This window comes from Homo sapiens, chromosome 3 (genome assembly GCF_000001405.40).
Source record: "Homo sapiens chromosome 3, GRCh38.p14 Primary Assembly".
Classification (NCBI taxonomy): domain Eukaryota; kingdom Metazoa; phylum Chordata; class Mammalia; order Primates; family Hominidae; genus Homo; species Homo sapiens.
Window position 1 is genome coordinate 156539163 of NC_000003.12, and position 25794 is coordinate 156564956.

Sequence of the window (25794 nt, forward strand, 5' to 3'; positions counted from 1 at the left end):
AATCTCAGGCAAACTAGAAACCCTGTGTCTGGCTTCCCACTTTAAAAGAACTGTCACTTCATCTTCATGACAAGAGTGCCAAAGTCATGAGGCAGATGTCAGAGCCTGAAGGAAACTTAGCCATCTGCAAAGCCATCCCTCTTTGACAAACGAGCAAAGCAGGCCTGGACAGATGATGAAAAAACTTGCCCAAACTCACACACTGCTAGTTGATGGCAGAACCAGGCCTAGAACCCAAGTATTTTGTGTTCTAGTTCAGTGCTCCATTAGGTAGATTTTTTTTTCTTTTTAAGCTTTAAAGAAGAAGTTTTATGCAGAAATTGTTTGTGAGAATGTTGAAGTTAAAAAACATAGTTATTAATCCAAACTCAGAAATCAAACAGGGATAAGTCAGCGAAAAGATGATATATTGAAAATTCATGAAGGCCAACGAGAAGTTAGCCTCTATCGCCCTGAAAATTTAAACCAACCCCCCAAAAGACCCTCCTAATCTATTAATTCCTCTGCTTGGGAGTCCCAAGGAAGTGAAAGAGAATCCCTTAGAGCTCTGATACATCTATAAATTGGTTTTCTCCATAAATGTACACATACATGTATCCTTCCATCCTGTCTCCAGAAGCAGCAGTGACTGGCATGCACACTGAAAACAAAGAAATAGGGCAGGCAGGAAGGCACAGCAGGTACATACTGGCAGAGGCCTGATGTCTGCCCTTTACTGTAACTGCTCAATGCCTTTCATTGCCTCACATACATTTGATTGGTAACTACAAAGATGTGCATTTACATGTGTGAGATATTAAAATGATGGTTACATGTATACATATGTACCAAACCTGCATGGTCAGCACATGTATCCCAGAACTTAAAGTAAAATAAAAAATAAAACAATTTGAAAAAAAAGATGGTTAATGTAAAATAATATAATAAAGATTACGTACTTCATCATAGGATTCTTATAAAGAAGTGTAGGGAAAATACAAATTTTAAGAAGCAAAGTTTAATCATACTTATTAAGCAAGACTTTTCACAAGAATTGAGTATAAATTCAATCTCCATATTTCAGTTAACTTCAAACCTTGTTTCAAATTATCCTTTCCAAGTTTCAATAATATGGCAAATAGGACAACCAGTAAACTTTTATTGCTTAAGAATATCAATCTAGGCCGGGCGCGGTGGCTCACGCCTGTAATTCCAGCACTTTGGGAGGCCGAGGCAGGTGGATCACGAGGTCAGGAGATCGAGACCATCCTGGCTAACAGGGTGAAACCCCGTCTCTACTAAAAATACAAAAAAATTAGCCGGGTGTGGTGGCGGGCGCCTGTAGTCCCAGCTACTCGGCAGGCTGAGGCAGGAGAATGGCGTGAACCTGGGAGGCGGAGCTCGCAGTGAGCCAAGATAGAGCCACTGTACTCCAGCCTGGGTGACAGAGCGAGACGCTGTCTCAAAAAAAAAAAAAAAAAAAAAAGAATATCAATCCAAGATTTTTATTAAGTTAAAATGAAGGAACTAAAAATAGGTAAATGAAAATGTTATAACACTTTAGTGCTATTTATGAGTATGAACAAAGGAATTTAATCACTTTGAATCCCAATTACAGATGAATCTTTTATTTCATGGGTGCTGGGTATGTGGTCTTTTTAAGACAAAAATTCTACAGCATGGTTTTACTAAGTCAGATTGAGTAGGTCGCATCTCTGTGTGCCACACAGAACTTTTAGACAAGAGTAGAGGGGAAAAGGTTCTGCAATTCCTCACAGTAAAGTACTCACACAGTAAATCCTTAACGAAAACTACTGAACTGTGAGTATATGCTTTATAATCTTATGCACAGAAATGTATCTATTAGTACAGAAAGTTGGAAAACATCAAGATTAAAAACAGTGCTGTAGGAAAAATTCACAACAGTAAACAAATTTTGCTCACTCATTTTCCTACAAATCTTCAGTTTATTAATTCAAGAGAAACTATATTAGGAATATTCGGCTGATACCCCTATTTCACCACCTCATCTAAGCTACACTGTATTATACCAAGAATGGTGGCAATTTTTTCCCCATCTATACAGGCACTGCCATCTAGTGGCAAGTTTTCACCAGCAATTTTAAAAGATAGTGGCCCAACTCTGGTAACAAATAGTGGACACTGATGGTTTGTCAAATAAGCAAATGCATTTATTTGATACACAAATTCCATGCCACCAGTCAAACTATGGTCTGGCTTTTTTTTTTAACCAACAGTAAAGAAAACTTTTTGGGTTTTTTTGTTTCTTTTTTGAGATGGAGTCTCACCCTTGCCACCCAGGCAGTAGTAGCACGATCTCGACTCACCGCAACCTCTGCCTCCTGGGTTCAGGCAGTTCTCCTGCTTCAGCCTCCCAAGTAGCTGAGATTACAGGCGCCCACCATCACGCCTGGCTAATTTTGGTATTTTTAGTAGAGACGGGGTTTCACCATGTTGGCCAGGAGTTCAAGAAAAGTTTTTTAAAAATAATAAACCTCTAAAGTGTTACCCTAACTGTACCTTACAGTGATATGTGACTTCTCTAGTCACTCCACATTATCCAGTGATGGCACCTAGATAATAATGCACCAAAGAAAAGTAAAGAATTGCAGACTTCTAGAAGCAATGATGAAATATAATTCTCAGTTGCAGAAAATGATGATCTGGGTCATTATGCAAATGCATTCCTGCCTGTTTTTCTTCCAAGTTCTTGCATGGAGCCCAACACATCCGATAGCATGGAAGTGGAAGTTAAACTCCCGATGAATAATTTTTATAAAATTATAAAGAAAACAACTAATAACATGTATGAAATTCACATTAAATTTAGAAGTGGATAGTAAAGATTAGGACTATATTTCCTTTGGGGTGCTGCTTGTAGGAAATTACTGAATGACAACTGCTATCACCTGTGATTTCATATCCTTTTAGCTGATATTGCTAAAGAGCTTCCCAAACTTTTTCAAGTCATGGCATACACAAGAAATGATATCTGTACATACACGGGTAAAAAAATGCAAGAGATTGCTCTCAGCTGGATCCCCAAGGGCTAAAGAGATAAATATCTTGCTCACAATCAATGGGAACCTGTGAACTAAAGAGTCAAATGTATGAAAGTCCTCATGGAAAAATGCTGACAAGCACTAAAATCACTGTAAATTCCTTGGAGAGTTCTCAGAATTGCAGAAGTTCAGAAAAATTACTTTGGTCTTTTACATGTCAATATTCAGGAAAGAGGTTCTTTCTCTTACTTAACATTCCTCCAGGGTGTGAGACCCTGGTCAAGGAAAACAGTGATTCCTGTGTCTTAGTAAGTCAAACCAACATGGCAGGGTCAAGTTGACCTCCCTGGCCACTCAGGGCCAAAGCCATACAGTGGAACAGTGTGTTCTTTAACCTCGTAGGACAACTCTCATATGCCTGGGCACTATTTTTAGGTTACTACCTTGGCTGCCCTTCTTTAAGAAAAAAAAAAGAAAAAAAAAGAACTTTTCCACAAGTTTCTCTTCCTCTAGTTGGAAAATTAGAGAAATCATGTTTTTAATTTTGTGTTATTTCAGATCACAAATTCAAACACTTGTAAACATTAAGCTTCTGTTCAATCCCCTGGGAAGAGGATTCATTCTGATATTTACGGTTCAAAAGAAGTTGTAATATTGTGCTTGGAACACAGAGAACCAGTTATTAACTTCCTACTACTATTATATAATAAATAATAACAGCTCGGCCCAGGTTACTGTGACCTCTGACAGATCAAGGAAACAAGTTATTTTCTCCTCTTGTGATTACAGCACATTGCAAGACATTTTTTTCCTTTTAATAAACGTCCTAGTACTCTGAGTTTCCCTTTCAATTCATTTAATTTCAACAATCTGTCAAAAAACAGCCAATAAACAAATACTGAATTACATTCTGCTGGGTTTTTTAAAGGCTCTAGACTATAAAAACATCTTGTGTCTCCCACCCTGACCACCCTGCTACTTTTCCATATACCACAGGCCACCCATAGACACAAAGCCAGGGGGTGAAGCTGACATGGTCTATTTGGAGCCAGTAGACAGGAGGGCGATGAGTCCTGATGAAGCACTTATGGACAATATGTAGTTCCTGTAAGAAATTTAATGTTATGGAAAAATGAGTAACTCCAAATTGGTTTTTTGAGAAAATAAAGAGCCCATCTCTTTGGAATGTACTGCTTCCTTCCTGACACTTGGTGTAATCATAATGATGTGCAGCCCCATTGTCTGCAAACACAATTTGCAAGACAGAAGACCAAAAAAAAATGGAAAACATTCACAGGAAATGTGTTCCAATTTAAAAAAAACACTTTAGACAGAAACCTAGAACACATGATCACAAAGAATAATCTGAATTCCATTTAACCTTCACGAAGAGCTGATCAAAGAACATGGAGAGAAAAGAGATTTGTTTTCCTTTTCTTCCCCTAAGAGCAATGGAAAAATAAGTCTTCCCTGCAAATCAGTGTTTTGCTGCAGTTGGCTTGCAACAGCAAGGAGGTTCTAAAAGTTCGAAGCTACTCCTAGCCTCAGAACTCTACAATTTTCAGCAAATCACTCCAGCATTCCCAGAAGGTACACGTTGGAGGGTATCTGATATTTTATTACATCATAATCACCAATTGTTAAAATCTTGGCTGCACATTCCTGGATAACATCTTTAATAAATTAATAAGAGAAGACTGATTCTTGCCCAAAAGCTCAACTTAACAGCAGCTTGAAACACTATTAAGATACACTGGAATGAACCTATTTAACTGCATTGGCCATCCACCCAACCCCCAGAGCCCAAAAATAACAGGTACAGGGGCTTATTATTTCAGAAGCTATCAAAAATGACAGGTTTGCTTTGGCTCTTTGGAGCTTTTTTTTAAGGAGGCAAGGACACAGATTCCCATAGACTACTTTGTAATACTTTATCATACAGTCATAATTCATAAACTTAAAAGAATCTTAAACCAATAGCTGTTATTTTAAATGTCCAGAAAGTTATCTAAAGTCAGCACTATTTAATGGACTGACTCCCAGAGCAGTTTTTCTTTCCACTAAAATATCCAGACAAGTCAAAACCAAAATGAACTACTGTTTCTTGACTTCTAAAAAAGATAATCAACCTTGAAAAGGATACACTGTGGGGTTGAAGTTCTTCAATATGAAGAAGGAAGCAACAATGACCACGACCAGGAACAGAGTGTTGTTATAGAAGATGGAAAATGTTGTAGCTTCATAATCAGCAACTTCATTCTTCTTCCACAAGATTCTACAGACACAGAAACAAGTCAAACAAGCTTATAAATATGATTTAAAAAAACTTTTAAGTACCATATGGCTCTAGTTCATCATAAAACAAGTTTTTCCTTGAGTGTTCTAGGGTAAGAATGTGTTTGTAATATTAGATTTAGTCAGAATTGTCCCCTTTCTTCCACTGAAAAAAAATATGTCACTCTATGATAGTGAAGAAAACATCATGCTGGTTATGTTACCATTTTTCCCAGGCAACCAGGGTTATGGAAGAAAGGACTCATTAATGGCAACCCGCACGGTTTCATCAGCAGCTAAGTCAAATATCTTTCTCTTGGCCCTTACCTAAAACTCAAACTCCATGATTAGCAGCCTGTGGAGTTTCCTTGGCTATACCTTGGGCTTGAGGCTTTCTACAGCCTACGGATTTCAGACTTCAATATCACACCTTCAGAAGACAATCCCAATGACAAAAATTACCTGTGGTCTCACAGAAGTAGGCTATTGTTAGCCATCTTTATTAATTCAAACAAAAAAAGAGCGCTTAATCATTAGGAGGACTTTTTAATGCCTGTAAAATCCTTCTACTTTTTATTCTATTTTACTTGTTCTGATAGTTTATCTTATTAATTTACTGGTATTTCATCCATCTTTTCTTTTACCCCTTCACACATGCAAAAGGAAGTTATAGGATGCCTGTGAATAAGGGAGCCTTCATTCTTGTTGGTTAATTAACTTTGTAAAGCAGTTTTTAAAAGGGTAGGTTGTGACCCATTAGTGGGATGTGAACTCAATCAAGTGGATCGAATGCCCATAGAAATTAATTGAGTTGAGACCAGCATTTTAAAAAAATGAAATAGGAAAGAATAGAAAAACATCAGCAGCACATCGCACAGAGTAGGATAATTATCGTTTTATGAAACATGTGCATGTGTCCACGTGTGAGTTTATCTGGTCAAAAGGTAAAATACATATTTTTTACTGTAGGTCATTATCAAAAAGGTTGAAGGCCACTTTGTAGACACTTTGTCTCCCAAAAAGATAAACCTACTCTGGAGTCAGATGACACATCCCCTCAACCCTAAGGACAGCACTTTAAGTAAGTCATTGGTAACTGACACATTATATTCATTAAGTATACTAATCCAAAGAAAACAAGTTTTGCCGGAAAGGAGCTAAATGAAGGCTAATTAACATCTTATGCTCATCTTAAGAAATCTGTAGTCTCTAACAGATGCCATATTTCCTCAATTCTACAGACACCATCGACTTAATAACTCTTCCATTTACTGTAAGTTTGGAGGAAGGGAAGGACATTAAGTGCAGCCATCAACTATAAAACACCTTCTAATTTCATAGAAGTTTAAATGTAAATTTTTAAAACACAAGAGTTGGAGTTCCAGGAAACATGTCATTCTAACACTGATCAATGATACCAGCCTAGTAAGATGCATAGTCTCAACATGGTTTAACACTAGAATGAACACTCAGGACAACTGCCTCCATTTTTAAGACTCCGGCATGAGACCCAGTGAAGTCAGGTTGCTTACGTAGGTTATTAGGCTGACTTTACTCTAGATGATAAAATTATCTCACTTGCATCACAGTGCTTCTCCTTAACTTCTTTTCTGTCAAGCCCTAAATAAGAAGTGATATGGTTTGGCTCTGTGTCCCCACCCAAATCTCATCTTGAATTGTAATCCCCACATGTTGAGGGAGGGACCTGGTGGGAGGTGACTGGATCATGGGTGTGGTTTCCCCCATGCCACTCTCGTGACAGTGAGGGAGTTGTCACAAAATCTGATGGTTTAAAAATGGCACTTTCCCCTGTGCTCACTCACTCTCCTGCCACCTTGTGTAGAAGGCACTTGCTTCTTTACCTTCCACCATGATTGTAAGTTTTTTGAGGCATCCCCAGTCATGCAGAACTGTGAGTCAATTAAACTTTTCTTTATAAATTACCCAGTCTCTGGTAGTATCTTTATAGCACTGTGAAAATCGACTAATACAAGAACCATTTTCAAAAAGCTTTTAATGAAAGAAGTGGCCCAATCCTTTAGATTTCCCTAGATCCCAATATGACCACGTGTTAGTTACATCAGTGTATAAAGTCAGGACTGCCTGACAGCCTTTAGAACTTTTACTGAGTCCACCCATATCCTGTTTTTGTTTCTGTTTTAAATTTAGGACCCCCAAATGCCCTCATTGCCAACGGTTCTGCCTAGTAGAAGACATTTTCTTCCTAGTAGGGAACGTGGTTTGGGAGAGCACTTCTCAATATCTTAAGGATGTTTTCAGGAAGAGCTTCCTACAAGAGAAATGTTGAGACCAAGCAACTGTTAAATGATAGATCACCTGTAAATCAAGAAGAAACCACACTCCCACTCTGGAATGAATGTTAATGAATCTCACATTCTCCTCTGCTTATTTCCATCCTTGGATAAATGAACATTTTAAAGTACTTTTAAGCGGCATGGAGTATATATTCCAAATGAATGTAGACAGAGCTTTGAGAGATACACATCTAAGCAAAGAAATGCTGATAAGCCTTCTTCTTACATCAAATCTCCTGGAATTCTTTCAGAGAGAAACAAGCTAGATCTTAATGAGAGGCTCTGGTCCCAGTTATCAAGGTCAATCAATACAGTACAAACTGTATCCCGTATGGCTTTTATGGTGGAAATAAAAACAGCCAAATTTCTACCAATGAAAAGAAGAGAAATTTTATAATGTTCTGACACTCTGCACTTATATATATCCATGAAACCTCCACCTCACCCCACTTTGAAATACCTAATCCAGCAAATGGCAAAGGTTTCATTCCCAATTTCAACTGAGTCACTAGTAGTGACTACCTGAACACTAAACTGAGAAAGATTCCGAGACATAACCCAGGATCAAGAACAAGTGCCAGACCAAATCTGCCCAAGACTGCAGTGGGCAGAGGAAACCCATTTACTATCCCTGACATAATTAATCACTGAAAACCTTTAAAAGCTGTAACAAACATTTTGAAATTTAGGTAACTATGCATACCCTAGTTTAAGAAACACCACTGTAATGAAAAATACAACAAAAAGTTTTTTCTAAAACAGTTACCTAGATTTTCTAACCTTGATCCCTATGCAAAAAACAAGCAATTGGAAAGCTATGCAGCCCGACCTCATTAAAGCTGCTCCATGCAGAAAGGCCTCCATTGTCATAATACTGTGCCTTCAGTTTTATAAAGGAGCCATAGAAGATAATCATTTTAATAATGTTTTGGTACCTTTCCAAAACCACTATAGAAGACATTGTTCATTAAGTTACTCAGTGTCCCTTAAATAAGGATCCACTTGATAAAGTATTTCCAAGATCCAGTGCCAGGAAAGTTTCTTTTCAGAAGGACTTGCATGCTGCTTCTCGTCAGACAATGAAAGCTATGTGACCTCAGATGCTTCCCCTGACACCTGGAAACCCACAACTAAGTTCAGTGCTCAGTTGCTGTAACTAACTCTAAGGTACTTGCTCATCCACCTTTTCCTCCTTTTAAATGGTTTCTGGTCCTTTAAAAGTGTGTTACTTGTTTTATATGCATTTTAAGAAAACCGTATTAAATACAGAAAATATATTATATGCACTTTAACAATGGAAGTTCACACAAAGTTCTGGAGCAAAGTGGGGTAAAAAATATGTTCCAACAAAGCATCTTCTTGATACTGAAACAAAAGATCCATGAAAACCAGCAGATCCACAACTATTAAACTATGTGGCAATTCTTCAGCACAAGTTTACTCAGGGACTTCTGCTACTCAGATGTTAAGATTGTCCAATAAGCCTTCTAAGAGCAGCCGGCAGAAAAAATTGGGACTAGGGGTTAACAAACGTGGCACAGAATTGGGCAACAGGAGAAAAACCCAGTTATTTTCTTTTTCCCAACCAATACAGATAACTAATTATGGGATATCCCTCGGGAAGCTCAGGAACAGAAATACCACCACATAGACATGCTAACACATAAACCCTTCAGACCCAGAGGGGTTAGGCGATATGTTCAAGGTTGTGCACCTATTAACAGACAAAGCCTGCTCTGTACAAAGCTCTGTTGCCTCCTCAATTCCAGCAGACAGTTACAAGTACAAGCTCTCAAGTTAAACTGCCTGTGTTCTTATCATGGATCTACCATGTACTAATTCAGGACCCTGGGCAAGTTACTCAAGCTTTCTGTACCTTTGTTGCCTCAGGTATAAAAAGGAGATAAAAATAGTACCTACTTCACAGGACTCTTTAGAGGAATAAATCAACTATTGTACAGCACAGATAAAAGTATCTGGTTGTAATAAAAACTCTAAAAGTCAGCTATTACTATTTCCATTACTACTACTACTACAATTCCAAAATTTACCTCAGACAATTCCAAAATCCAAATTCTTTAAGCAAAAATCAAAAAATTCTCTTCAAAGTACCCCCTTTTATGATGGCCATACTTTAAACAGGAGTCAAACCTTTCATCTTTCTCCTTCCGAGACATCTTTCTATTATCAGCTTCAGAAAGTTTTCGAGTCACTTCTTTGGAAACAGCATCCTCCCTCTTCTGTGCTACTCTGGAAGAAAAAGAAAAAAAGAAAAAGTTTCCATATGCTACAGAGGTGAACATCACACTCTCTCAGAAACACACCGTACTCATATTTCGTACTGGCAACAGAATGATATTTCACATTTCAAGAAAAGAAGCTGAGCAGAAAGTTCCAAGTTTATTACACTGCACTAGCCAAAAGAGAAGTTCGAGAAATGTCCAAGATGTGGTTTATTAGTGACGTGTTTTGATTTCCCCTTAAAAAGAAGAATTTTCCACAGTTTAGGAATTAATGTGGTTAATAAAGTCAAATGCTATTAACACAATTTAGTTAAGAATCATTTTAACTACATTTTGTTTTAACCTATCATCTAACTGTTCAACTAATAAATTTCATAAGGCATTAGTAAATGATGTATTATTTCAATTCCAAGTACATAACAGGAGCGAAAACTAGGCTTAAACGAAGTGGAAATAACAGCTGTAATATCTTAAAGTAATTATTTTAACTTTACTCCAAAGGACAATTTAAGCTGGGTGTGATGGACAGAAAGCCCCAGGTCATTCAAGGCAGGAGTTTTCAATCTTGATCTTCAACTACAAGGGTGTCTGGGATACAAGTTAAGCACAAATTGCAACTGATTTTACCTATTTTTTTACCTGTCTCCATCTTTAGCTCTCTCACTCAAGAACTGAGTTAGAATTGACATTGTTATTAATAAAAAGAAAACGTTTAGTCAGTTTCAAATAATGTATTTTTTAAAAGGTTTACAAAGTTACTTTTTAAACCTTGTTACCCCACACAAATTGGTAACTGGAAAGAGGAAAAAATAGTTCTAAAAAAAAACAAAACAAAACACACACAATTAAGAGGAAATCAATTCTGAAACCTAAAGTAAAAGGCTGCTAAGGGGGCAGAGAGCTGTCTTTTTAAGAGACACTTTAGGACACTAAAATGAACTTTTTACTCCGAAGATCCAACTTCATTTGATTCATTTCATTATATAAAAACTATCTTTTTTCATATGCTTCTTGCACTTCGGATACACTCAGCTCCAAAGGCAGAGATTCTTCTCTCTGAACCTCTTTAGCAGACCAGGCACTAAATATGTTTCTTCATGAGAACAGATTGTGAGAACAGGAAAAATAAGAAAAATTAAAAATAAATAAATGTGTTTCTTGAACTTAACATCAGACAACTTTTTTTTCCACAAAAGACCAACTGAAAAGAAATGGACACAGTTTACTGCAGAAACCTTTCTTAGCTTAATATAAAAAATATATACACACACCCCAACTATCAAGTTGTTAGCACACAGGAATAAACTACTGCATTTTCAAAAGAGTTGGTTGTCACTATGTGTCTTTAGGACGAACAGTCAACCGATTGTCCACATGATAAATCCTCATGAAGACATTACACCAGATAACTAAGCAATTTCTCTTCTAGGTCTAGAATTTTATCCTCACCTACCAGGGGCATAACAACCACACTGCAGGTTTACTGCAACTCAAGAGGAGGAAGCCCTCCCCTCTGTCTTAGAGCTCTCAGAAAATAAACCTCACTCAGTGCTGAACACTCTAAAACAAAATAGAGGTCACGCTAGTGACCTAGCACTTAGTCAACTAAGATAACCCATAAAATCAATTGTATTTTTCTTCCTTTACTCTTTCACATCAGTATGTCAGAACACTTCCAAAATTAAAAATAAAAAAAGACACTACCTGATTTCTTAAAATAAAAACATCTTTGCAAACATGGTTTAAATTATGCCACGTTAAAAAACAAAAACAACTTCTAAGGGCTCTCTTAGCCCCAACCTCTTCAACCCTGCACATAAACATTTATTATGTGCCAGACTCTATGCTTAACATGTATGATCATAATGAATCCTCACCACCCTCTGAAATTCCACTAGCATCCCCAGTTTATAGCTGAGGAATCTGAAGTCTACATAGGTAAAATTATGCCCACGGCCACACATTTAAGAGTGGCAGAGCTGGCACTGGAACCCAGACTGTCAACGCTGAAGCCATCTTCCTTCTACTGCCAACAGCTACCCACACTCAGCATCTTGCTGGATCTTTGAACCTTAACCATCTTGCAAATCTGTAGGCATTTCAAAGTCAGTAGCATATTTAATATAAAGCCAAAACTATGACTTAAAAAAAAAACCTCCATTCTGAGTCTATTAAGTCAGTAAGTCATTGAAATTTTACTGAACTAAATGTACCATTAACTGTTTTAAGGAGTATAAAATATGGCGGGTGTCTTCAAGAAGCCTAAAGTAGAAAGGAAAAGGTAAAAAGAACATGACTTTGATTCTAAAGAGATGAATGAAAAATGTTATGAAGAATAAGTAAAGAATGACGAGTCTCAAAGGGACTGAGTTCCAAGAGTATTACAAAGGATGGGTCATACCAGATGCCCACTTGTGAGGGCTTCCCGATACACAGATGGCCATGCCTCACAGGAAACAGTCCCATACAGTGGAGGCCCACATGAGCTGAATCCTGGAATAGCAGCTGGTTGAGGGGCTGCCAAGCAGAAAGATAACAAAGATAACCCAATTTATCTGCTGGTCCATCAGAACAGCAGCCACGAAAACCTGAGCTCGTTTGTGTCCAGAACAGTAGGGAGGAAACTGCTAAGGCCACTTCAGTCACTGAGGCCATTTTGGGACATTTCTTAAAATAAACCCCTGTTAACTGAGATCATCTCAACATGTTTCTATTCCTCATTCCCCGAAAGAGTCTAACACAGGGACAATAAAGCAAAGAAATGATCAAAATCAGGAAGGATTTCTCTGGAAAAGATTCCTAGGTCTAGAAATAAAACACAGGTAAGAATGGAAAGGAAGTAAGTTAATCCTAAATAGGGTAGGGCACAAGACATATTCAAAGGATGATGTGAGGGCTGAGTCAGAAGGGTTAAAGCCTAATTCTGAAAGATGAGGCCAGACTCATAGGAAGGAAGCAGATGACTTGCATTCCAGGGGTCTAGAAGAATTTGGCTTTAATACATTTAAAAAAAACAGGCCATGGCTGGACACGGCAGCTCACGCCTATAATCCTAGAACTTTGGGAGACCGAGGCAGACGGATCACTTGAGCCCAGAAGTTCAAGACCAGCCTGGGCAACATGGCAAAACTCCATCTCTACAAAATATACAAAAATTAGCCAGGCGTGGTAGTAGTGCGTGCCTGTAGTCCCAGCTATTTGGGAGGCTGATGTGGGAGGATCACTTGAGCCCAGGAGGCAGAGGTTGCAGTAAGCCAAGATTGGGCCACTGCGCTCTAACTTGGGCAACAGAGTGAGAGTCTGTCTCAAAAAAAAAAAAAAAAGCCATGATGAGTTGTTATGAGAATGACATGATAAAAATGATGTCACATAAGGAGAAATACATACTCTTCATTGGATAAAACAAGGAAAATACCTGCACCTCATATGGATGCTATAAGGATTACATAGGGCAATGTGCTTCATACAGTGCATGGCAGGGCGGGCCCTAAACTTGTTTTAAAAGACCAGATGGAGGTTGTTACAGCAATACAAGTAAAAACAGCATCCAAACTAGAGTGAGAACTATGGATGAAAAGATAATGCACATACAAAGTATGTTCGTACTAAGTCTCAGTGAAATTCCAATTGCCTTTTAAGAAATTACTTTCAAAGCAATACAGCACCTAGATGACCCCATCAAGGAAGGAGGGAAATAATCCTGCTATCCCTACCCAAGTATCACAGTGTACATGAAAGCAACATCAAAGGGCGTCAATTAAACAATTTATACCACTTCCAATGAGACAATGAGGACCATGACGCTGAGAAATAATAAATGTTACCATCTTTCCTAAGTCTACGTGATCCTGCATTTTAACCTCTATGAAACTAGAATATTTAATTGCTTATAATTAAGGTATAAGTTTATTGTGGTGAGGCTTGAGTTTTCTTCTCTAAAAGCTGTATTTTACAGTATGTGTGATCTTAGACTATGTTAATCCTTTACATTTTATACACTTGTATGAAAACAAACGTAATTAGCATTGAAAATGACAGAGAGTTAAAAAAAAAAAAAAGCAATAAAATAAAAAGACCAGCCTGGTCAACATGGCCTGTCTCTACAAAAAAATTAGCTGGGCATGGTAGCCTGCACCTGTAGGCCCAGCTACTTGGGAGGCTGAGGTGGGAGGATCCCTTGAGCCTGGGAAGGTTGAGGCTGCAGTGAACCATAATCATGCCACTGCACTGCAGACTGGGCAAGAACTAGACCTTGTCTCAAAAAATAATAATGACAAAAAGATCATTTCTTTAACTTCCAAAAATAGTACGTGAAGAGCCCAGAACAATTCTCTCCATAAGGAATTACATTTAGCTTCTGAAATGTTAACTTACTTGGTGGGTTTGTTTCTCTGATGAACCTCATATTAAGGCCTGTGTTTAAGTGTTCTAATTCCACCCTCAAAATCTGCTTCTGTAGCCGTGTCAGAATGATCATTGTCTCTACTTCAGTTAGTTAATAATTCTTCCTAGCATCAATGTTCCTTTCCCCCAAAATGTTTATTAATATATATATCTCAAATTAATGCTTATTAAAACCAACACACACAAATGATCTTTAAGAAGACATATAAAAATATAACATGTAGTACGTACTTTCACTTGAAAAACATACTTACTTGTGCTTGAGAACAAATTTCACATTCTTGTATGCAAAGGCTACCAAATATGTGCTTACTAGGGTCATCACACTATACAAAACAGCAGACTGAATAAGATCCATATGCCATATTCGCCAGTATAACCCTGAATTAAAATAAAAGGGGGAAGGGTACAAAAAGAAGCAAAACATTACAACCCCGCAACAAAAGCCTGCGAAATTAATTATAGCTAAGCCTGGTAAAATACCAGGTTATTAGTTATGCAATCCAATAGTATCTGAGGATCTTCAGAAGCGAGATAACCAGTAACAGTATAGTCTCAAGCTTTCCAGTTCAGAACATTTGAAAAACATCACCTTCCTATTACTAGTCCAGATGAGATTTCAACTTCTAAAATGAGAACAAACTCTGGCTCAACGTAATCACAAGTCAGACTTCAAATTTCATTCATCAGGGTACTAGCATGCGAAACACAGGCCATTCCAAAATGCCACGTGCAGCCCCAAACCATAGTTTCCTTGCTGACGTGGCTGTTATCAGAACTCCAAGCAGTGCTATGTCCAATTAGTGAGCCATCATATGGCTTCACATCACGTTAATGGCACGCTGGGTTGTATAAGGACAAAAGAGAAAAATACATTTAGTTTTAAATGCCCAACAACAGTGCAGCAAAAGACAGGAGTTCTGGAAACTTGAGCTCTACTAAAAACGACCTTGTCCAAGTCTGCAGTTTCCCAACCAAGTGAGAATTCTAGAATTGGTCCAGTAGGATTATTAAAAAGTATAAATAAGGTAGATCCCTAACCCCTGGCACTTCAACCTCTCTCTTTTTGCAAAAACCAGGAAAATTATGCAATGGTGTGAAGTAGCTCACGTAAAGATGCACTTATAATTCAGTGGGTCACTTCATGGGTTTCTCACCTAACTAATTTATGCAAAATAAGTAATAAGTTTAAAATTTCGTAACGGCAAGCAACAGTTGTATAGAAAAGGGCAGAGGCAGTATGCTTGAGTTTGTCTGTTTAAATAGAGATTCGGGGCCGCCACCCCAGAACTAGTTAACCACCTTCTCCTGGGGTGGAGCTCGGGAACGTGCGTACTTTTAACAAGTGACCTCCCCGAGTGCTGCACAGGACAATCCCAAGCGACAACACTGTGCCCAAAGAAGAGGCTCCGTGCCTCCCCGAGCTCAGGGGAGCTGGAGAGATTGCCGACCCCCGGCCGGCACCCACGCCTTCCCTGCTCGCCGGGTCCTGCCACGTCCCCGCCCAGCCCGACTAGCCGGCGGCCTGCCTAACCCGCCTCGCTCCCAGCACTCACAGATGGGGATGGCAGACACGATGAACGCGTTTCCGAAGAAGAGCGCGGAGGACTTGGCCGAGAGATTGCGGCTGAAATCCTGCAGGAGCAGGTCCTCCTCAGACTGCTGTTTGGAGCTGCCTTTAGGAGCCATGGCGGAGCTGCAGGCGAGAACAGGGAACGTAGAGCCGGCCGCCAAGGCGGGCAAAGGCCCTTGACTCCGCCCCTGCGGCCGCCGTATCCGCTAACGACCCGTCAGCGCGGCGCGCGGAGGCGGGACCCGGTTTGGCGAAGAGCAAGCGTCCCCAGGATTGGCCAGCTTGGCGCCACTAGATAGGCTTCCGGGCGTGATTGGGCGAGCGGGCCAGACTTCCGGATTCCTGACAAGCCACGTGACCCACCCACCTGGAGGAGAGAGAAGGGATTTGTAGTTTAGTCGGTGCTTTAAAAAAAATTAACAAAACTTTATTGATATTCCACTTCAGAGCTGCTGACAGACTCACGAGTTCTCAGTTCTTCAGAATTCCAAAATTAAAAGCTCTTCTGGCCCCACGCCATTAGTGCCCTCTGTGCGTACCCAGGACTGAGTACGTTGAAGAAGAAAGAAGAGAAAGGTATAGCTAACTCATGTAAAATCCCTTCTCCTTTACACATCCTTTATTTCATTAAATACCTTGAAGAATCTTATGACGTGCGCATCATTACCGCCATTGCAGCTGAAGAGCCTGAGGGTCGTAGACCTGCGGTGTGGGTCTCCAAGGCGTGGGCTCTTTTCACTAAACAATAGGCCACCTCTGTAGGAAGAAGAAAATGGGACTCTTGCTTTTAAGAAACTCATGATCTCATTGATGAAGGCAATATTTAATATATGTCTGATACAAGTTACTACTATTTTATTTTATTTCAACTAGACCTATAGAGTTTTGTGGCTTCCAAAGCCATGCTAAATAAAACATAATACTAAGAACAGGTTGGCTAGGCAAGACTCCCTCTCTGAAGCTCAGAAGGATTAAGTATGTCTATTAAAACAGCTAGATTCCATTTTTAACTCAACACATTATCATTTTTTCTTCAAAAAAAAATTCAACCACATCACTCCCAGCAAATGCTACTTTTGATTACTGAGAACACTCTAGTGCATTAGGCACAATTTCCTCAACCTCCAGCCTCCTTATTAACCGTTTGGTAGATATCTTTCTTCCTCACAGTATCCAAATTGTAATCTACCTCCACAGCTTCCTATTACTAGTCCTAATTGGGCTTTTGTCTTCAATCTTTTCCAGTCTATTCTCTATACAGGTACCAGAGTGAGTTTTCCTGAAATATAAATCCTTCCATTATCTACCGCAAGTGTTCCTTAATGCCAGAAGTTTTCATTAATTCACCACAAAATGAAAAAGAAAAAAAGACCATCTAGTGAATTTTTCAGAAAATCAAAAGTATTCATTTAAAAATATCTGGGTTTATGTCTTTTTTGATGTTAAAAATGCTCTTTATTTTATTACATGGTAGTGATAGAAGAAGAAATTATTATTTTCTCTTACACATACTCCTCCCCCAGTTTTTCCTATCTCACTAAGTTGCATTCTTTTAAACTCATTTGTTGTTCTGGTTAAAATAGTGGGTTTCAACACTAATTATTTTTTTCCTTCTCCATCTATGACCAATTCATAAATAAAACTTTTTGGATCTGTCTCTATAACTAGATTTTCTTCTGCCTATTTATAAACAAACTAAGGATATAAAAAGAAGATAAAAGATAAAAATCAGAGGCTGGGTGCGGTGGCTTATGCCTGTAATCCCAGCACTTTGGGAGACCAAGGTGGGTGGATCACAAGGTCAAGAGACCGAGACCATCCTGGCCAACATGGTGAAACCTCGCTTTTACTAAAAATACAAAAATTAGCCAGGCATGGTGGCGCACGCCTGTAGTCCCCAGCTACTCAGGAGGCTGAGGCAGGAGAATCACTTAAACCCGGGAGGCAGAGGTTGCAGTGAGTCAAGATCGCGCCACTACACTCCAACTCCAGCCTGGCAACAGAGCAAGACTCCATCAAAAAAAAAAAAAAAAAAAAATCAGAAAACTAAAAGATCCAAAGAGACAACAATCATCTTTCTTTTAAAAGAAGAAAAGAAGAAATGATAAGGATGAGATTTAAAAAAATTATGCCTGAGAAAAATATTTTAACAATTAAAATAGGAAAGATAAAAGTTTGAAATGTTTAGTGGATATAAATGTTACAATTGATATAATCAAAAAAAGCTAGCAGAAAAAAATTAATACATTTTGTAAAGCTAAAGGTAACTATAAACAGAAGATAATCTAAAATATGAATTTCAAATTATTTTGTGGGGGTAAATTAGAGAAATATGATAGGGAATGATACTTATGATAGAATATTTTTGGTAATGGCAACAATTACAATTATGAAGGTGGCACACTTGGAGTACTGAAGCAGTGTTTTCTTGCACCAGAGCTACCTAGTTCCCTTTAAAAAGCAAGCAGCAAGACCTAAGGATCACTTGTATGTGGCATATATAGCCGTGGCACACATAGCCGTGGCACACTGGACAACCAGGGTACACAATGTGCTAAAAAACAGAAGGAGAGGTGGGTAGTAAATTCTACCCAAGCAAAGATCTACAATATATTTTGCCCATTTCAACATAGCTTAACTCTGAAGGAACCAAATGGACTTGATTCCATAGCAGTCTGAGTCTATTCTATGAATTTCAGGCTTTCTTGTATATTTTCTATTATATCACTTGATTCTTTTCAGATTGGAGGAAAAACCCCAAGCAATAATATTTTTTGCTGTCAGGTATATGGATAAGAGATTACTGATGACTTTGTGAAAGAAAATCTGGTATGCTAAAAATTAACATATTTTTCTGTGTCAGACACTGCAAGTTGCCTAGCCAATATAGAAAGCCACTGCTAGCTTTTCACTGGGACCTTTAAAGAATAACAAATGGATCATCCAGGGCTACTGTGGGGAGGAAAAAAGAAAAGCTCCTCTGTTTTAAAGCCTACTTGAAATGCAAATCTCATGATGGGAATAATTTTAAAAGAGGTGGAACACTTATATTAGTCCCTAAGTATAATGTTTTAAAGTATCACCTGAAAAATTATTTACTCAGCCAAACTACATATTTCACCCACTGATATTTGACTAATTCATTAGTTCATGTACTCATTCAGCAAATATTTATTGAGAAGCTACTACATGAAAAGTACTGTGCAAAACCTGTGAAAGTATCCAAATAATAATCATGATTATTTTGATTATAATAACTAACATGAATTGAGTCCTTGTTGTATGTCTACCTCTGTGCTTTGTCCTTCACACGTATTGTCTGATTCATCCCTACAGCAACCCTAGGAGGTATATGTTTCTGTTATCCCCTTTGTCAGATGAAGAAATTGAGACTCAGATTAGTGAAATAACTCATTTAGATTCCACAACCAGTAAATGGTGGAGTCAAGTTATGAACCCAAGCAATATGATTCCAGGATGTATGCTCTTAACTACAAATGAATTCTGGTCTCCTCCATGCAGTGGAATCTCTGATTCTGCATGACTGCTCACAAAAGCCCTACACTGAGCAAGCAGCCAAAAGTAGTTTCTTATCTACCAATTATCAGGCACAGTCCTGTCACACTGCAGCTCTCCCTAGTGTATTTTTGGACAGAGAGGATAATAGGCAAACCTTGGTGAGCAGGCCTTGGCTCTCCATACCTGATTCTCTGTCTCAGGGAGTTTGAAAATGAAACCCCAGAAAAAAACAAAACAAAACAAAACAAAACAAAACAGTTAATAGATGTATACAGAACAAGGGAAGCAAACTGAGAAGAGGTGGAAAGCACAAATCATAACTCCCCAGCAGCTGTAAATTAGAAAAGGGATAATTAGAGAGATGCTCCAAGTGCCTTAGGGCTTCCCTATTTCTCTCTGTAGACCTGATAGAAACCCCCATTACCTACAATAAAGCTAAAATACTTGTTCAAAAAATAAAAGTTAAACAGATCTGGAGTCTTGTAAATAAATAATATAAACAACTTCTGCATATAAATGAACATCTAGATGAATAACTGTACTCAATTTGTTAATTTATGTATCACTCCACCCAAAAGGTTTAAGGCAAAGGTAACAAGATCAAAATGTCTATAAGATTCAAGTAAATAACTTCAGGGAGTGAATTGTGCCAGGCATAGGACATGAGGTAGTGGTAGGCTCAATACAACTGGAAAGCTCACCTTTCCAAAAGCACTCAAACTGAAATAGATTAAACAGAAAGAAAACTAGAATCAACAGCAAATATTCTGTAGGCCAAACTCAACAGATTTGGGGTTTAATCTGCCCCATAAATTCCCAGGTTTAAGGAGACAGACTCAAATGCAAATAATATAAAAAAAGTGAAGTGTAATTTAAAAAAATAAAATCTTACCATTTCAGAAGAAACTGTGTTTTTTGGAGAGAATGCTGGAAGTTGGCCCTTATAGTTGGTTAGGCCTCCTCCCCCAACCACCCATTCCCCTACACACATATGCTACTGTTGACAGGAGACATTTGCCAGCTGCGATTTTTTTTTAATAAAGATAAGGTTTCAAGAATTCTAAATGTGTACTTTACTATGGAATTGATTTTTAAACTGAATGAGGCATTAAAACACTTGGGGAACAAGCATTTGTCTTTGAGCTTGAAGCTTATACTTTTCAAGATAGATATTGTTTTCCTTTTTAGGAAACACTGATGTGACCAATGTAAATTGGGGATTGCTTCTGAAGCAGTCAGAAAAACCTGTTCCCTTTGTGCCTAAGGATATTCATAAAGTCACTTACTTCTTTAAGAAAATGATACACATCTACAGAAAATATATTATTTTAATAACCACTGATAGAGGCCATAATACTTTAAATCTCAAAACTCCCCCCAGAATCTTCTAAATGTGAGACTTATCACACATGCATCATTCATGCAGCACTTCAGGGCACAATAAAAATTAAGATTTACACTGGAAATCAATTTTCTTTCGTTACACATTTAACCCAGGCACTATGGCAACGGAATGTGAGACAAAGTAGGTCACGAATTTCAACTGGAATGGCTTAGGTGATACAGAAGCCAGGTGTAATTTGTTGCTCATCTTTTAGGACTCTTTCTTTTAAAATTCTTCTGTTTCACAGCCCCTAGTCAATGTTGTCTAACAACTTACTAGATGAAATCATGAGACCAAATGCTAGGGTGAGATTTATTCAATCTCATTGTTTATTTCACTTGGTTTACTAATTGACTAGTAAGATCCATTTCCATACTCACAAATAAATAAAGAAAGCAATTCCAGGAAAAAGGAACAATGCATGTGATATGGTTTGGCTGTGTCCCCACCCAAATCTCAACTTGAATTGTATCTCCCAGAATTCTCACGTGTTGTGAGAGGGACCCAAGGGAGGTAATTAAATCATGGGGGCCAGTCTTTCCCATGCTATTGTCATGATAGTGAATAAGTATCACAAGATCTGATGAGTTTATCAGGGGTTTCCGCTTTTGCTTCCTTCTGATTTTTCTCTTGCTGCCACTGTGTAAGAAGTGTCTTTTGCCAGGCACGGTGGTTCAAGCCTGTAATCCCAGTACTTTGGGAGGCCGAGGCAGGTGGATCATCTGAGGTCATGAATTTGAGACCAGCCTGGCCAACATGGTGAAACCCCATCTCTACTAAAAATACAAAAAATTAGTTGGGCATGGTGGTGGATGCCTGTAATCCCAGCTACTCGGGAGGCTGAGGCAGAAGAATCTCTTGAACTCAGGAGGTGGAGGTTGCAGTGAGCTGAGACCACGCCATTGCACTCCAGCCTGGGCAACAAGAGCGAAACTCCGTCTCAAAAAAAAAAAAGTGTCTTTCACTTCCCGCCATGATTCTGAGGCCTCCCTAGCCATGTGGAACTGTAAGTCAAATTAAACCTTTTTGTTCCCAGTTTCAGGTATATCTTTATCAGCAGTGTGAAAATGAACTAATACAGTAAATTGGCAATCAGTACCAGTTGCTGAAAAGATACCCGGAAATGTGGAAGCAACTTTGGAACTGGGTAACAGGCAGAGGTTGGAACCGTTTGGAGGGCTCAGAAAAAGACAGGAAAATGTGGGAAAGTTTGGAACCTCCTAGAGTCTTGTTGAATGAATGGCTTTGACCAAAATGCTGATACAAACAATAAGGTCCAGGCTGAAGTGGTCTCAGATAGAGATGAGGAACTTGTTGGGAACTGAAGCAAAGGCCACTCATTATGTTTCAGCAAAGAGATTGGTGACATTTTGCCCCTGCCCTAGAGATTTGTGGAACTTTGAACTTGAGAGAGATGATTTAGGGTATTTGGCAGAAGAAATTTCTAAGCATCAAAGCATTCAAAATGTGACTTGAGTGCTGTTAAAAGCATTCTGTTTTAAAAGGGAAACAGAGCATAAAATTTCAGAAAATTTGCAGCTTGACTGTGCAGTAGAAAAGTAAAACCCATTTTTTTGAGGAGAAATTCAAGCCGGCTGCAGAAATTTGCATAAGTAGCAAGGAGTCTAATGTTAATCCCTAAGACCCTGGGGAAAATGTCTCCAGGCCATGTCAGAGACCTTCAGGGCAGCCCCTCCCATCATAGGCTCTGAGGCCAAGGAGGAAAAAGAGGTTTCATGGGACAGGCCCAGGATCCCCATGCTGTGGGCAGCCTAGGAACTTGGTGCCCTGTGTCCCAGCTGCTCCAGCCACAGCTGAAAGGGACTAATGTACACCTCGGGCTGTGGCTTCAAAGGGTGGAGCCCCAGGCCTTGGCAGCTTTCATGTGGTGTTGAGACTGTGCATGGGTGCACAGAAGTCAAGAATTGAGGTCTGGGAACCTCCACCTAGATTTCAGAAGATGTATATAAATGTCTGGATGCCCAGGCAAAAATTTGCACAGAGGCGGGGCCCTCATGGAGAACCTCTTCTAGTGCAGTGCAGAAGGGAAATGTGGGGTCAGAGCCCCCACACAGAGTCCTACTGGGGCACTGCCTGGTGGAGCTATGAAGAGAGAGCCATCATCCTCCAGACCCCAGAATGATAGATCCACCAAAAGCTTGCACCATGCGCCTGGAAAAGCTGCAGACACTCAATGCTAGCCCATGAAAGTAACCGGGAGGGAGTCTGTACCCTGCAAAACCACATAGGCAGAGCTGTCCAAGACCATGGGCACCCACCTCTTGCATCAGCGTGACCTGGATGTGAGACCTGGAGTCAAAGGAGATCATTTTTGCGCTTTAAAATTTGACTGCCCTGCTTGATTTTGGACTTGCGTGGGCCCTGTAACTCCTTTGTTTTGCCCAATTTCTCCTATTTGGAATGGCTATATTTACTCAATACCTGTACGCTCCTTGTATCTAGGAAGTAACTAGCTTGCTTTTGATTTTACATGCTTATAGGCAGAAGGGACTTACCTTGTCTCAGATGAGACTTTGGACTGATAATGCTGAAATGAGTTAAGACTTTGGGGGACTGTTGGACGCGCATGATTGGTTTTGAAATATGAGGACATGAGATTTGGAGAGGCCAGGGATGGGATGATATCGTTTGGCTGTGTCCAAATGTAAACTTGAATCATATCTCCCAGGATTCCCACGTGTTGTGGGAGGGACCCAGGGGGAGGTAATTGAATCATGGGCACGGGTCTTTCCCAGGCTAGTCTCATGATAGTGATAAGTCTCACAAAATCTGATGGGTTTATCAGACGTTTCTGCGTTTGCTTCCTCCTGGTTTTTCTCTTGCCACTGCCATGTAAGAAGTGCCTTTCATCTCCTGCCCTGATTCTGAAGCCTCCCCAGCCATGTGGAATTGTAAGTCCAATTAAACCTCTTTTTGTTCCCAGTTTCGGGTATGTCTTTATCAGCAGCGTGAAAACGAACTAATATAGCATGCAAGTTCACAGTCATAAAAGGGCCCAGTATTACAATTTTCAAATCATTCTATGAAGTATTTAGGGGAATGATCAAAACCAGACACAATAAGGGAATAAAAAAAGAGGAGTATGTGCTTCTGTCACCATGGGATCAATGGAATCATCAACATCTCATAGAAACCTAGCCGGACACCTATGCCAGCTGTCTAGTCTGTGTTTTTATTTAAGAAATAAAATGAAATTCCATTCTAATCCCTTTACAGCATTTCCTAATTCCACCTTCCTCTGCCTCTGTCTCAAGAACCCAAATTTTTTATTCCAACTCCAACCACCTCCCTCTAGGACCTTTCTGTACTAAAATCCTTTTCTCCATGCATACAGCTTATAGATCTTTAGAATCAGAAAGACCTGTCTGTTTAATCTGTCACAACAATAGCTGTGTGCTCAGGCAAATTGCTTACCTTCTCTGAGCTTCGCTTCTCTCACAAGGTTCAAAAGGTTGCTGTAAGCATTACATGAAACAAATAATGTGAAGCCCTAGCACCGTGACTGGTACAGGGTAAATTGTCTTCTTTTTTTCTCCTGATGTGTTGCCTCCTGCTGAACTGTTAAGCCTACACAACTTTCTCATTTTCTCCACAAACACATTTCCTACACATGCACAGATGCATGCACACACTTCCCCTCAGCTCTATTGCATACCTAAAGTTTCCACCTGCTTTTGGCTAACAAAGAAAAAAAGAGTTTGTTCAGACTCACTTCCCAATCATTCCTTATCATATTGCAACCTGAATTCCACTCCTGCCCTCTCTTCTGAATCTGCTCCAGAAATGATCTACTAAATCACCAAATCCAACCTTCTTTCCTTCATTTTTAACCACTTTACCTGCCTTCAGCATTTAGCACCATTGAATATTTCATCCTCTCAAAAGTTTCTGTTCTCTCATCTCCAATGAAACTGGAGGAACCCCTGGTTCTTTTCCTACCTCTCTGACAGCTCCTTCTCTGGCCCCTGCTTTGACTCCACTGCGCCTCTCTGATTCTTGGGGTGGGTCTGCCCACTTATACAAATATGAAATGGTCAGGGGTAAAACTCTGGTGGCTCCAGTCAATAAGTAGTACCACACTGGAAATAATTTTGGCAAAATGGGGATAACTTATTCAGATAGCCTTAAACACTATGTTGCTTCCTAACTAACCAAAACTGAGATAATCTTTAAACTGCTTCACACCCTAGCCACACAGAACAAAGTTAAAGGAAGCAGGAAAATGTATACAGAGCTTTACAACAAGCACATTAGGCAATATGTTTCCTTGTCTTCTTTTACTACAATAAATGTGTACAGTAGCTCATAGAAGCAGAAATATCTAAAACCACACACTGCTGAATATCATATATTTAAAGTCTGAGCTCCAATCAATTGCATATAAGTTCAGCTTTTTCTATAATTACTTTTAAAATCCGTGATCCAAAGAAGGCTTCATTTTATTGTACATCACCTAGGAATGTTACAAAGAGGAGCACCAAGAAATGATGCAGAATCAGATAATTAACAAAGAAAAGGAACTGAGACTTTTGCCTTAGCCACCCTTTGCAAGGGTTTCACCAACTCTCAACTAAGAAGGTATTGGAGTTATTAATAATACAAAAATCATAGTGCATATTATCACAGTTTGTCATATACATAGTGATTAACAGCATAAGCACTTGAGTAAGAATGCCTTAATTCAAATTCCCTTTCTATGACTTACTGATTGCATGAAGTTGGGAAAGTTATTTTATTTTTCTAAGACCAAATTTTGCTAATATATAAATTAGGAGAATAATTATACCTATTTCACAGGGATTTTGTAAAGATGTGTGCATATTCTTATGTACACAAAGTACTTATTACAGTTCAAGACACATGGTTTGCATTCAAATCATCATATAAATATTTTTTCTTTTGCTACATTCCCAGATTTAGCTTCTCCCTTTCTGAGAAATTATTTAATTTGTCATGATTAATTATTTTAATTTGTATTATTAATTATCTATAGATGTGTGTGTCTGTGTGTGTGTGTGTGTGTGTGTGTGTGTGTGTGTAGATAAACTGGGAGATAAAG

At 39.0% G+C, this 25794-nt stretch overlaps 1 protein-coding gene across 4 annotated transcripts, besides 1 other annotated feature; it reads right to left on the bottom strand.

Moving 5' to 3' along the window:
* SSR3 (signal sequence receptor subunit 3) lies at nucleotides 391-15955 on the bottom strand. 4 transcript variants are annotated; one of them, NM_007107.5, is made up of 5 exons: nucleotides 15795-15955; nucleotides 14493-14619; nucleotides 9743-9841; nucleotides 5146-5277; nucleotides 391-4107 (listed from the first exon to the last, which is right to left on the bottom strand). In NM_007107.5, exons 1-5 carry the CDS (start codon nucleotides 15925-15927, stop codon nucleotides 4041-4043), a joined length of 558 nt encoding a protein of 185 aa, NP_009038.1. In that variant the 5' UTR covers nucleotides 15928-15955; the 3' UTR covers nucleotides 391-4040. The 4 variants fall into 4 exon arrangements, with proteins under 4 accessions (NP_009038.1, NP_001295126.1, NP_001295133.1 ...); NM_001308197.2 differs by having other exon boundaries at nucleotides 9704-9841; NM_001308204.2 differs by lacking the exon at nucleotides 15795-15955 and adding an exon at nucleotides 15575-15683.
* Nucleotides 15814-15893: an enhancer, noted in NCBI's record as "active region_20728". NCBI's record gives its function as "activates an Ori minimal core promoter by ATAC-STARR-seq in GM12878 lymphoblastoid cells {active_cell/tissue: GM12878}" and the evidence as "EXISTENCE:reporter gene assay evidence [ECO:0000049][PMID:35858748]".